Here is a 14,841-nt window from a genome sequence, read left to right on the forward strand (position 1 = left end):
CATGTGTAGCACATGCCTGTAATACCAGCTACTCAGGAAGCCAAGGTAAGATTGCTTAAGCCCAGGAGTTCGAGACCAGCCTGGGCAACATAGTGAGACCGTCTCAAAAAAAAAAAAAGGAAAAGAATTAACTATATAAATTGATCTCCTCCCACCTGAACTAATTTGCCTTAACCTTTAAACATAACTATGTCTTTAAAAAGAAGATCTGGTATTGTATGTGCCTCAAACACTGAAGATGATTAACAAATGTCATGAAAATAACATTCTAATCTTTTAATTTAAACTGAAAAAATTCACAGTCTGAAAAGAATGACATGACTTGTCTTTAGACAAGTCAATCCAGAAGCACAATACAGGAAGAAGTACATGTGAAATATGCTGACCAGGTGATTTAATAAGGAAAATTTTCTCACAGAATAGTTACAAGACTATGTTACTGAAATGGGAATATTGATATCTAGTATGCAATATGCACTTAAAAACTCAAAATAAGGCTGAATAACCTCTGGCAATAATGTCTTACCTAAAGACAAAAGGACTGCTGTAAGAACAGCAAAGATCCCAAGAAACTCTACATTGGAACTCCTCCTTGGAAGACAATATGTTACATTTTTCAATACTAATTTTTTAATACTAATTTTAATTATTTTAATAGAATACTGAGTGCCTGCGGATAACATTAAAAATTCTGAATATTTCTCAGACAGGAAGATTAGCATTAAATAAAAAAGCAACCTATTTTACTTCTGAAGCTCTTTTATTGGAAGCAAAAATGCATACAGTATCAAGTATTCCACAGCATTTGAATATATATGTAACTGCACTGAGAACAAGAACTACTCTCATTGAATATTTTAATGACAGCTCTAAATTGAAGAAAATAAAAATAACACTACTGACAAAGCAGATTTATACTTTTAAATAAGCTGAATACATAATACAAATCGAGAATACAAATTGCAATGTTTTTCAGAATGCAGATTATCTGTCACCCATTAGTATGTTTTAAAATCAACTTGGAAACCAACACTTTCAAATAAAATAGTAGATAAAGCATGTTTACCCTTATATTACATAAGTAGCACGCGGTTCACATTTTAACATCTCTGAAATATTAACAAGTACTTTTGCACAAAGAACCTATTCTGCTGCTGGAATAACTCCACTCAAGCCAGCCTCTACTCTACTATCTTCTAGAATCAAGCATGTTTATGTTATTCTTCTACTTACATAGATCTGTGAGCCCCTTACGGCATATTAAATAAATTCAAACTCCTTAAGTTAGGCAAAGTTCTTCACCAATTGTCAGCTTCACTTTGCAACTTCTACCTACAAAAACTATCTAGCCACACTTACCTAATCACTTCCTCCAAACAGATGAGACTCTTTCATGACTCCAAGCTGTTTCACTTCTGCACCTTAAGAGTCCTAGTTCAGAATTAACTTGTTCTGTCTTCCCTGATTCCTCCAGGTGGCATTAAATACTTTGTTCACTCCCAATATATTATTCAAAATTCCAACAACATTTAATAAATTATATTAACCCATATGTATATGACTTTCTTCTCCCTCACCAAACTGTGAAAAATGAAAGGCAACTTTTTTTAGTGTCCAGTACCTAGCAAAGAGCTGCACACTTATACAGGGTCTCAATAAATGTAGTCATTATAACCACTGGATACCTAACAAATGTTCACAGAATAAAATTAGAATTTTGGAAGCCTTACAATTACAACTACAAAAATATCTTTGTGTTCAGAAAAAGGATTCAAACAAGCGTTTTGTTTGGTGGTTGTTGTCTGCTTATTTTAAAATCCAGGATATTTTAAACTATCCCTTGAGCCAGTATGCATTTAAGTATCTATTTAGAGATCAGTAAATATTTATCAATGCAGCTTTTTTTAAGGTAATTTTAAATAATTTAGAGATCTGATGGCCAACATTCCTAACATGGGAAAACAGTCTCCAATAGGTTAAAAAGACACAAAACTCACACAAAAAATTAGAACATTAAACGGTAAGAAAAAAACGTTCATATTAACAGTAGCCAAACAGAAAAAACCAACAAATCTGGAACTACACTGCAGAATATCTAGCTAAGATGACAGAAACATCACATAGTGTTATTTTCTCCATCCCAATCCTCCACTCCATTTCAGTACTATTTATCTCTAGGGTAAGTGACTCCAATAGTCTTAGTTTGTTTCTTTTATCACAGAATTACCAGTATAGCTCAGTGTGCACTGTGAAACCAGGCTACCTGGGTTCAAGTTCATTCTACCTCTTATTAGCAGTAAGTCCTCATAAATCACTTAACCTCTCTGTGCCTCAATTTCTTCATATGTAAGAGAAGAAAAAAATTATAGAATAGTACCTATATTATAGGGTTGTTGTGATCAATGAACATGTAAAGTTTTTTGTTGTTGTTATTGTTTTTGAGACAGAGCCTCTCTCAGTTGCCCAGGATGGAGTGCAGTAGTGCAGTCTCGGCTCACTGCAACATTCATCCCCCAGGTTCAAGAGATTCTCCTGCCTCAGCCTCCCAAGTTGTGCGGATTACAGGCACACACCACCATGTCTGGCTAATTTTTTAGGTTTTTTTTAAGTAGAGATGGGGTTTCGCCATGTTGGCCAGGCTGGTCTCGAACTCCTGACCTCAAGTGATCCGCCTGCTCAGCCTCCCAAAGTACTGGGATTACAGGCGTGAGCCACTGCACCTGGCCTGTAAATATATTTTTGAAAGTGCCAGACATATAATTAGGATCTCAATAAATGTTATTATTTTTATTACTGTCCATGCATAGAAATTTTCCAGAAGGATAACTAAAAACTATTAAAAATGGAGTGGAGGACTGACATGAAAGGTAGATAAAAAAGCTTACTTCACTTTAAGCTTTTCTGTACTGAGTCAACATTTTACTGAGCATGTGTAACTTTAATAATGAGAAGAAAAAAATCATCTGACAAATACCACATAACAATAATTCTTCTGCTCCTCATGAGGTACAGTACCCCACTCTCTTCCAAGTTTTTAACCTTGCTCTTTTCCCTCCCTATTTAATCAAGGACATCTACACTGTCACCAGCTTCTCTCTTAATATCTTACTAGCATGTTTACAACTACTTATCTCCTTCAAAACACAAACCCAATGCCCATCTCTCTGATAACCACCACTTTTTTAACATCATTCCAAGAGATTAAGCATAAGCTTTCTATCTCTATGATCTGCAAAGTGAATACATGCATGCCAGGGAGTACACGAGCCAATCCACTGGCAAGCTGCTGGAAGAAAAAAACTTGTTTATACTGAAAATTATCTTTAGGAAAAAGTAATGCATTAAATTTTGCTATAATATTTAACATACAGGTTAACACTAGTGCCCTTACTTGGATTATCAGAGCATTATGTTACATATATATAACATAAACGGAGGTGCTCTATACAGAGGGCTTGACGGTGACATCCTCCTTTGTTCATTTGATTTTTTCGTATGGGTATGCATTGCAGTTCATGGCTGGTTAAGCAGATTTGCATATCGATAACATTAGGTAGTTTTACTTAAACTAGCCCTCACAAAATGGATTTGTGGCTCTATATTACTGCAAAGAAACCTGAAGTTGAAAAACCTGAAGATAATACTAAAAATGTAAGTATAAACAAACAAGAAAATAGTCAAGCTGATGCCTCCCATGCACACACTTCAACATTCCTTTTGCAAGAGAAAAAAAAAAAATTACAAAATTAGATCTGACAGTAATATGTCACCTAGCATTTCTGTTTGAAAAAATAACCATTGATCCCCATAAGGGTAAAGATGATGCTTTCAAATGAAACGTTCAATATGTAGAGGGCATACTGGAAATCAACATGACTCTTGTATCTGCATATGCGAGTTGGAAAAAATAATTTTTAAAATATATCAACTGTATGTACCACTAAAAAAAAGGATGCCAATTAAATGACACCCTGAATTACATGATGCATCCATATATCAGAAATGCTAAAACATTTTTAAAGTACATTTTAAAATTGATAAAGTATAATAAATATTGCATACATAAAATAGGAGCATTTGGGTGAAATTTTTGCTGTTAGGCATGTCTAAAAAATAAGGAGTCCATTGGTTCTCTATGGTCTCAAAACATTTGCTATACCCTACCCTTTTTATGAAAGGTTTGTAAAATGTGTCAAAAAAATAAAAATAAACAACAGGTAGCAAAACGGGGAGGTGAATTGAGAAACTGTGCTGCTCCAATCCCAAAAGAGATCCAAAGATCTGCTCAGACATGAAAAGTTAGGTTCTAGCCAGAAGTAAAATTCTAGGCCAGAAGAAAGTAAGAATCAAGAATAAAGTAAGATCAGATTCCAAGATTGGGAATTAAACTTAAGCAGTCACTGAAGATGCTTTCACTCAGCTAAAATAAGGTTAGCAGCATCAAGTAAGTATACTTTCTCACATAAACACACTAGTTAAAAAATACCTACATTAAAATCTAGCTCAATCTAAGCTAATAGGCTTTCTTGGGTTGGGCACGGTGGTTCACATCTGTAACACCAGCACTTTGGGAGGCTGAGCAGGGTGGATCACCTAAGGTCAGGAGTTCGAGACCAGCCTGGCCAACACGGTGAAACCCTGTCTCTACTAAAAATATATATATATAATAAATTAGTCCAGCATGGTGGTGCACACCTGTAATCCCAGCTACTTGGGAGGCGGAGGTTGCAGTGAGCCGAGATCACACCACTGCACTCCAGCCTGGGTGACAGAGAGACTCCGTCTCAAAAACAAAAAAAGCTGTGTTCAAAAAAGCATTTTGGCAACTATTAGGAATAACAGCCACGTATTTAGTTTTTGGTAAGTCCTTGTTCCTGTTTAAAAACTGGGAAAATAAGGTACAGTTAACAACTAATGAGGCTGTTCATAAAACCACTACAAATATATACAACTTGGTATTTCAGACGGGCTTATCTTTGTCCTAGAACATAAGAATCATACACAATACATTTAAATGGCTAAAGAAAAATAAAGTCTTAAAATATTACAAAATAATTGAGAAAATTTATAAATATATGGAAGTTTTCTGTTCCCAAAATTAAAGCACTTAACTTCTAGTCCAACTTTTCAGTACATTATTCCTAAAATGAGACAGAATGCTCAGTATTAATGAGAATGCTTTAGAAAAGCTTCAGAAATGTCATAGCAAGGCCATATATATGTAATTTCTTATGGTCAGGAGGCAATCTCTGCCTCTACAAAAGCAATGTAATCAACTGGTAGAAAATGCTAAACTACATGAAACATAGTCCAAATCTTTCATCCCAAAATCTTTCAGAGAAATATATAACTAAAAACTATAGTTCATTTCAGAACTCTAAACTTTAATACTAAAAACTATTTTCAAAACGAGTATCAATAAAGCAAATAAGTTTCATTCACTAGACATTAACAGTGTAGAAAGGCATACAACAGTTTCTGATCTTACATTAACTCTCTTTAAAGGAACTTAAAATCCTATCAACGACTTTAATTAATTTAGCACTACCTAATGAAGTCTTTAAACAATTTACAGCAGGAGAAAAAAAACAAAAGTAGGGGTAGAGTTACTTTTCTGAGGTAGATTCTCAGATCAGACAGAGGTTAAGAAAAGCATGAAATAAAACTAGATACAGTACTAAAGTCTGGTTCCCTGATTGAGAGAATCTTCTATTCTGAGGGGCGAGAACACTGTTAACACCAGTTCAGACGCCCTGAGCAGACAGAGTACCCTGGTCAAGACTTGGCCACTGTTCAGTGTAAGGAATCCCAGAAAACCCTTCAGTCCTAGGCAACCTATGACACACAACCCCTAGTTTTAAAACTGAAACGTCAGGCAAACCCAGACAACTGGTCACCCTAGCTTAATAAGTGGTAAAGAGCAATTCAAACATTTATTAAGCACTTATGTATCAATCCTTATGCAATAAAGTCAGCTCCACTGGATTAGATAATCTCTAATTTCTGCTAGGTTTATATTTTTAAGTATCTCACTGAAACTGGCCAAATGCATTGATGCATTTTCTTCTGACTCATCTTACATGGCTGCCTGGAAGCATGAGACTGGTGATCACTACTGCCTTCAGACTCCTCTCTACCAGAACACTTCATTGTCCTGCTTTTACTCCTACCACCCTGGCTGCTCCTTCTCAGTGTCTTTGGACGGCACATCTTCCTCTGCCTGAAGAGAAAATGTTAGTGTCCCAGGGCTTAGTCCTCTACTGTCTTCTCTATTCTCTCGGTGTGATCCATGACCTTTAAACACCATTTATAACCAAGTAATTCTCAAATTCCTATCTCTCACCCAGCAACCTCCCTACTGAGCTCCAGCATTTATACCCAACTTCATATTCAACATCTCACCTGAATTTCTCAAAAGGATCTCAAATTTCACATGGCCAAAAAGAACTCTTGATTCCATTTATTTTCCTTACACTCTCTCCCCACCGCCCTCTGCCCACTAACCTTCCCCATCTCAGGAAATGGCATCACTATCGATTATAATCACAGAAGCCAAAATCAAGATGTCATTTTTGACTCCTCTTTCCCTTAATTGACAACTCCAAACCATCAGTAAATCCTTAAGATTTCTCATGTATATACCAAATCCATTTTCTTCTCTCCAAATCCAATCTAACCATTCTAACTCAAGCCATCATCTCTCACCTAATAACTGCAATGGCCTATTAGCTGTCTTCCCTACTGCTGTTCTTGCCCCACTCCTCTACAATTTCTTCTTCCACAGAATAGCCAAGACTGATTGTAAACACCTAGGACAAGGAATATCTGTTCCATGTCCCCAATACATGGGAACAGTATCTGCCTCATAGTAGGCACTCAATGTGCTCAGGAGTGAAAGAATGAAGTCACTCCCCGGCATCTTCTGACATGCAGAATAGAATCCAGACTCCCTACAACCCCTAACATTATTATCAGGCCTTCCTCACCTCACAGTCCTGCTCACTAAGCTCCAGACTCACTGGAGTTCTTCAAACTTCTCGAACTCATTTCCGCCTTGGAGATTTTTTGTTCCCTCCACCTGAACACTTCTCCCTTCACGTCTGGCTTCTTCTCATCATTCAGGTAACAATGTTACCTCCTCAGAGGCCTCCCTGACCAGCTACTCAAGGAGCTCTGCCCATCCTCTGCCACCTCACCAATCTTCTTTTCCTCTTAGTACTTAACACTAGCTGCATCATCTCACTATCTGTTTACTTACTGATCCTCCCCTCTAAAATGCAAGCCACTACCAGGCAGCATGGTGGTTCATGCCTGTCATCCCAATACTTGGAAGGCCCAGGCAGGAGATCACTTGAGCCTAAAAGTTCAAGACCAGCCTGGGTAACAGTGAGACCTCATCTCTACAGAAAATACAAAAATTAGCCAGCAGTCAGTGCACATGCCTGTATTCCCAGCTGAGCCTGAGAGGCTGAAGTGAGAGGACTGCTTGATCCTGGCAGGTCAAGGCTGCAGAGACCTATGATTGCACAACCGCACTCCAGCCTGACTGACAGAGTGAGACACTGTCTCAAAAACAAAACAAAACAAACAAACAAACAAAACCTAAAAAATGTTTTTAAAAGTAAAATACAAGCCTCCGTAGAGCAAGAACCTTATCTTTCTTGTTCAATGATGTATCCCCAGAGGCTTATACAATGTCTAGCACACCATATTTATTGAAAGAATAATTCACAAACATTTCTAATGCCAAGGTAACAAGCACTATGCTAGGTAACCATTTTTTTTTTAATTAAAGAAAAACAGAAATCAAAATATTGGTATGAAAAGTAATTTGGGGCCAGGCGTGGTGGCTCACGCCTTAATCCCAGCACTTTGGGAGGCCGAGGCTGGCAGATCACGAGGTCAGGAATTCAACACCAGCCTGGCCAATACTGTGAAATCCTGTCTCTACTAAAAATACGAAAATTAGCCAGGCATGGTGGCACACGCCCGTAGTCCCAGCTACTCGGGAGGCTGAGGCAGAAGAATCACTTGAACCCATGAGGCGGAGGTTGCAGTGAGCCGAGATTGCGCCATTGCACTCCAGCCTGGGCAACAGAACAAGATTCTGTCTAAAAAAAAAGAAAAGAAAAGTAATTTGATGTTATTTTTATGTTGATCATGCCCATCCTTAAATGACCCTATACAATAAATTGCTCTTCTTAGAATATTACTTTGCCAGTGTAAAATATGAAAATCCTGATAGTAATAATAATAATGAATAACATGTTATTGCTTAAAAATTGGCTGGGTGCAGTGGCTCATGTCTGTAATCCCAGCACTCTCGGAGGCCAAGGCAGGCGGATCACTTGAGGTCAGGAGTTCAAGACCAACCTGGTCAACATGGTGAAACCCCGACTCTACAAAAATACAAAACATTAGCCAGGTATGGTGGTTTACGCCTCTAATCCCAGATACTCGGGAGGCTGAGGTAGGAGAATCGCTTGAACCCCGGAGACGGAGGTTGCTGTGAGCCGAGATCGCACTCCAGCCTGGGTGACAGAATGAGACTCTGTCTCAAAAAAAATAAAAAATGATATTGCTTAAAAAGTGTCTGATGATCACGTTCTTCACTTTCTTAATGCAAAATTTATGTAATTAGGCTATAACTCAGGAAAATACTATCCAGAAGACTTTATGTCTTCATCATCTTTTCAGAGTATAAAAATACACATTTCATCCAGTCTGAAAAATCATGACTCTCTCAACCCTTTCTGTTCACACACATAAATATTACAACATGACAATAGAGGTTATCAACTCACCATTTATTGCTTGGCCTCAGATTAATTTACCAGCTTCATTCAAGCCAGGAAGTGATCAAATTCCAATTATTAATCAAGTTCATTTCACCAAAGTCATCACTAAAGTTAAGATTCACCCCTTACCCCCCAATACCTATTATGAAAGAACATGTTCAGTTGGGTTTAGGCCAGAGTTATGTTTCATTGTTACCACAGTATTCCTAGAAGTCCATCTAATTCAGAACCACAGCAGAAAACAATATTATTAGTTGTAACCATACCAGTTATTACCACTATCATTATGACATCACTAAACACCTTATGGCAAGCATCAATTAAGAGGTAAATGTAAAGCTCAAAGCAATGAACAAATGACATTTTTTCAGCTCAAGTGTTTCCTGTAACATTTTATTTTCGCACACTATAAAAGTATAATACTCTACCTCAAAATGTTTTAAGAGTTGAATATATGTTTTCGCTTTTGTTTTTTAAAGAGACAGAGCCTCACTCTGTTGCCCGGGCTGGAGTGCAACGACATGATCTCAGCCCACTGCAACCTCAGCCTCCCGGGTTCAGGCAATTCTCCTGCCTTCAGCCTCCTGAGTAGCTGGGATTACAGGCGCACGCCACCACGCCCGGCTAATTTTTGTATTTTTAGTAGAGACTGGGTTTCACCGCGTTGGCCAGGCTGGTTTGTAACTCCTGACCTCAAGTGATCCGCCCACCTCGGCCTCCCAAAGTGCTGGGATTATAGGCATGAGCCACTGCGCCTGGCTTATGTTAGTATTTTAAAAAAATTATTTACGAAAAGGAACATACTTAGCACAACTAGGTATTAGGAAGTACTCAAAGTATCACTTTATCATGCTTGATTTCAAAAGCCTACGGGAAATATGTCTATCCTTCATCCAACTTGAAACCAGTATACATTCTGAACAATAGGGTAATCTCAAATGCAATCAACCAAATGCATAAAAAGATACCAATTGTTCTATTTTAAATTAGCCTTCTAACCACACTTGCCAATACAAAAAAGAGAGGCTTTTATTTGATATTTGTAAGGAAACTTAAGAAAACACTCATTTTAGCTGGGCGCGGTTACTCATGCCTGTAATCCCAGCACTTTGGGAGGCTGAGGCCGGTGGATCACTTGAGGCCAGGAGTTCGCGACCAGCATGGCCAACATGGTGAGACCTTGTCTCTACTAAAAATACAAAAATTAGCTGGGTGTGGTGGCACATGCCGGTAATCCCAGCCATTTGGGAGACTGAGGCACGAGAACCGCTTGGAACCGGGAGGCGGAAGTTGCAGTGATCCAAGATCGCACCACTGCACTCCAGGCTGGGCAACAGAGGGAAACTCTGTCTCAAAAAATAAATAAATAAATACTCATTTTATTTTTGGTTTATAACAGTTACTCCAAAAAGCTGAAAAATGGGAAAAGCCAAATTAAACTGAATCCTAAAGCGAAGGCTAAAAGTTCAGTATTTTTCAAACTACACTTATTATTCCTATTTTTTACTGCCATTTCTTTAAAAAAAAATTTCTTCTGATTTTTAGAAAGTGGTTCTATAAGCCGGGCGCGGTGGCTCACGCCTGTAATCCCAGCACTTTGGGAGGCCGAGGCAGGAGGATCACGAGGTCAGGAGATCGAGACCACCCTGGGTAACACGGTGAAACCCCGTCTCTACTAAAAATACAAAAAAATAACCCGGGTGTGGTGGCGGGAGCCTGTAGTCCCAGCTACTCGGGAGGCTGAGGCAGGAGAATGGCGTGAACCTGGGAGGCGGAGCTTGCAGTGAGCCGAGATCGCGCCACTACACTCCAGCCTGGGCGACAGAGAAAGACTGTCTCAAAAAAAAAAAAAAAAAAACTAAAGTGGTTCTATAGTACCTTTGGCTTTTCCTTTAGTCTAGTTATATATTTGTATAAACAAATAAACCAGTTTCAGGACAGCTTGAATTAATCCACATATTAAGATAAACTCATTTTAATACCAGAAATTATTTACTTATCCCTGCCTTCACACTTTGTTTTCAGACAAGTCCAATTTTAGGGCTGGAATAATTGCTCAAATTATTCAAAAGATATACTGAACAATATTTCAAAAATAAAAATTTCCTTCCAATTATCAGGAAAAAAGGTCCCTACATGAATCAACTCAGAGGTCATTATCTTGACCTTCACCATCTGCTCACTTGCACAAGAAGCAACACAAGTTTTTCATCTAAGGTAGAACTTTTTAAAACTTAAAATTATCTAAGATAATTTTAAATATTTATATTTGCTCAAAAAGGGAAGAAACACAATAAATAATTACATTACTATTTCAGCATGTAACTGAAAAAAAACTTTACAAAGGCATGTCCTGACTTGTCAATAGTTTATTACTGACAAATTGAGATAAAATACATACTTTGGTACAGCTATACTGTCCAAATTTCTTCAATTAGGGTAGTAATTACAAAGTATCCTCTTCCACTATTATTCTATGCCATAGCAAATGTCTCTCTAGAGGCTGCAACATAACAAAGTCCTTCGTTACCTAACTTTAAATACTAAAATGTTCTCTTCTTCCTAGAAAACAATGAAAAATAGACACCATGCCTCAGTGATATACCTCCAAACAAGCTGCTATTATCACGAATAAATTTTAATAGGTTAGATTGCAAAGACATTACAGATGGCTTTTGACATTTTCAGATAAACTGAAACCACTCCCTCCAGCCCCTAGGGATAATGAAGTAGCTTCTCAATCACTGAAGTTACTTAGATGACAGGATTTGTGAATAATCTGTAAACTCGGGAAACCTCTGAACTGTCTCCTTAGGACAAATAACATACAATTTAGAAAAAAAAAATCCCTACTTAATACTGCTTTTTACTAAATTCATGCCTACATTAAATTTCAGGATCAAACTTAAGTGAATGATTCAAATCATTCATTAACATACATTAAGTGTTTCAGGACCAAACTTAAGTGAATGATTCAAATCTAACTCTGGCTTTTTAAAATGTACATATGTCTTTTTAAAAACCACACATCACAAATATCTAAACTATCAAAGAATTGCATTATTCGAAATTTCAATAGCCTGATACTAGTGACTCGGTCAGTGCCTGATTTTTTTTAAATAGCAGAAAATATTACCATCAAAAGACCCCTTTCCAAATGCTGCTTCTGCTTTTTTGTTTTGTAAATAACAGCTTTGGAAATGTATGCAAAAATATCTCTAAGTTACACAAGTCGAGCTCAAACACTTTGTGGAGCAAGGTTACTTAACAGGAGTCCCAGAAACAGCTAAAATTGTAGGGAAAATTTTGCGTATGTATATATGGCATTGTTTTTTCTGCGCAGAATGTCCATATAACTCAGTTTCTCAAAAGGCCTCAAAACTCAAGATTAAAAGTGCCTGGAAAGACCATCATCTTTAGAGAACATATCACAGGCAACCCAAGACTTATTTTTTATCCCAAGTTAGGGGAGGATTTATCCTAATTTTGTGGCTCCTACACAACTTCTGAGCGACGCAAGCATGAAATGGCTGTCCGATACAAACAGACCCCTTCAGATACGGAATGCAGCAAACCCCTAATTTTCCTTGAAGGGGCCACGGAAAGCCAAACGGATTCGTAACCCGGTTGCTCAATGGTCCATTGGCTACTGCAGGACGCGCCCTCCTCTTACGCCGCAGGGGCTGCGGGGCGGCGACCAGGTTCCTCCGAGGGGCTGAAGTTCCCTTGGGGGTGGCTGAGAGCGGCCGCATCTCTGGCAGCATCCTCCCTCCCGAAAACGCGCCCTAAAAGTAGCGGCTGCGGGCGTGGGCACAGCCAACCCCAGCCTGCGCCTACCAGAAGTCGGGAGGGCGCGGAACTGCGGCCCCTCCGAGACGCGCCCGGGCCGCCGCCGCAGCACTGTCGCAGCGACCTTCCCGCCCGGGTCCCCGCGAGCAAACGGGCAAGCCCCGTTATCACGCAGGTCACACACCCCACGAGTAAAAGGAAAAAACCGGGCAGACAATAAAGCCCAACCCGCGGGGGCCCAAGCGAGCTGGAAGTTGGGGGCGCTGGGGCTGCAGCCCAAGGAGGAGCGGCGGGGACGACGGGATGCGGGGCTGATGCGCCTGGGACGCGGCAAGCCATATGTCAGCCCGGGTGCTGACAGCGGGGAGGACACTGGGCACGCGGCGGCGTCGGGGAGGCGGCCGGGGTAAGACAGGCCTGAGGCGGGAGGGGAGCGGCGGCGAGGTCCCGAGGCGCCGCGGTCGGCCGTGACCCCCACCCCAGCCGGGGCGCTGTCCCGTTCCTTACCGGCAGGGAAGCTGCGGGCTCCGCCGGGGCTATCCCGGCCGCTGGCCTCCGGAGCCAGGAAGCGCCCCCACATCGCGGGCGAGAGGGCCGGGTGGGCCAGGGACGCCCGACTCCTCACGTCCGTCCTCCTGCTTCTTCGGCGGCGGAAACTTGCGCGGAGCGTGGGCCTCGGCGACACGGGCAGGAGGAAAGGCGGGATGGCTGGTTAACGGCTGCTCAGCTACGGGCGGGGAGCGCAGGGGCCAGATTCGCCGCACTGCCGGCGCCTGCCATGGCCAAGCCGGCTGGGCTGAGGCCCGCGCCGGGGAAGCGGCGACTCGGCGGTGACGGCTGCTAGATCCCCGGCTGAGCCCAGGCTCAAAGGCTCCAGGCGAAGTTGCAGCTGCGGGTTCTCTCCGCCCCCTCCGCCGGCAGAGCCAGAGCCGGGGCTGGGGCCGCGAGGGGGCGGGGCCTCGGGCAATGACTTCAGGCGTGCGCGGCGCCGCGCGGGGCGGGGACTGCGGGGGGCGGGGACTGCGGGGGGCGGGTGAGCTACCCCGACCCCGCTTCGCCTCCTTGGCGGCGACTGGGCTGTCCCGCCCTCCCGCCGCATCCCTCTGTCTCCATCCTCCCGCCCTGCGAGTTGAGTAGAGGGCAGCGACTTGGCCTATTTTGCGATACTCGCCCCTCCCTTGGGTAATCCCTCACGCCCTCCCTCCGGGCACCTCTGTGAAGACACGTGGAAGACCTGCCCCTGGCGTCACAACCGCTCGAGATGAAAAAGCCAAGCCAGGGCGCGGCTGAGGGGGCTTCCAGCCTCCCTTGGAATTAGGATTGGGATTTAAATCCTCATCTGTATTCCTTCGTTTATAGATTACTTTAGGGGCAGAAAAGGGGTGGTTTTCCTTTACTAATTTAATGGGGGCGTGGGGGCAACACAGGCACCAGAATATAGCACCGGGATGTGCACCGGAAAAGGCCCGGGGGTAATTAGTACCCGAGGGGGAGAGGGGCCGTCATTGTAATCGCACAACGTTTCAGATTAGCAAGCAGAAAGTAAAAATGGCACCAAAGTCTGTAAAGGGAGCCCTTTCCTCCTTGCCCCCTACTCCTTCACGTTCTTCCTCTTCTTGGCCAGTTTCCACCCTTCACCTGAACCCTTAGTGCAGGAGGAGACGTCCTAAGGAAGGGCGAAAAGGGACAGCATCGTTTTATTTTTAAATCTTACTTCTCACTGGCAATATGGTGATGCTTCCAACGTTTAGTTACGAACTAGTTCGTATAAAAAATTCTGGGCCAGCACTGTGGTGGGAGGCGGGCTCTGCAGTAGGCCCATCACTCAGAGGTAAGTCGGAACGCAGGTCGCTTAACTAGAGAGGCTTTGAGTTCCGCTTTTCCTGTTCTGGAATCTTGCTAACAAAGGCCTCATATTTGCATTTTTCCCTTAAAGACATTTTAATTGGGAAATACTACTTAAAATTCTTGGAAGTTAAATTAGATTTAGGTGTGTGTTCTATCACTTACCACATCCGTGTTGTAATTTATCTGATTGGAGTTTTACATTTAGTCTCCCTGTGGTAGACTTCCAATTATTTCTCCAAATCATGTAATGTTAGCCAAGGGTCAGCTGTTTCTGATGATAAAAAGATACAGAAACATGAAAGACGAATGTGATTGGTTCCTTTTTATTATTTTAATGTGCACTAGCTCGTTTTATCTAACACTTGAAGAGGATAGATTTTTTTAAGTCCCAAAAAGAAAATTAGCA

The 14,841-nt window shown here is 41.3% G+C and overlaps 1 protein-coding gene across 12 annotated transcripts in view, besides 2 other annotated features; it reads right to left on the minus strand.

Moving 5' to 3' along the window:
- Positions 1-14,841, minus strand: part of CEP85L (centrosomal protein 85L) — a 249,318-nt gene that overhangs the window by 177,331 nt on the left and 57,146 nt on the right. For 6 of the 12 annotated variants that reach the window (NM_001178035.2, XM_011535810.3, XM_017010846.2 and 3 more), the window contains one exon: positions 14,598-14,706. The exons of 1 other annotated variant lie outside the window; for it this stretch is intronic. In NM_001178035.2, coding sequence (NP_001171506.1) covers positions 14,598-14,679 — 82 coding nt within the window. In that variant the 5' untranslated portion in view covers positions 14,680-14,706. 5 more of the 12 variants (XM_047418761.1, NM_001042475.3, NM_206921.3 and 2 more) reach the window with 3 other exon arrangements.
- Positions 12,873-13,182: a silencer, noted in NCBI's record as "silent region_17501". NCBI's record gives its function as "represses an Ori minimal core promoter by ATAC-STARR-seq in GM12878 lymphoblastoid cells {active_cell/tissue: GM12878}" and the evidence as "EXISTENCE:reporter gene assay evidence [ECO:0000049][PMID:35858748]".
- Positions 13,383-13,842: a silencer, noted in NCBI's record as "silent region_17502". NCBI's record gives its function as "represses an Ori minimal core promoter by ATAC-STARR-seq in GM12878 lymphoblastoid cells {active_cell/tissue: GM12878}" and the evidence as "EXISTENCE:reporter gene assay evidence [ECO:0000049][PMID:35858748]".

This window comes from Homo sapiens, chromosome 6 (assembly GCF_000001405.40).
Source record: "Homo sapiens chromosome 6, GRCh38.p14 Primary Assembly".
Taxonomy (NCBI): Eukaryota; Metazoa; Chordata; class Mammalia; order Primates; family Hominidae; genus Homo; species Homo sapiens.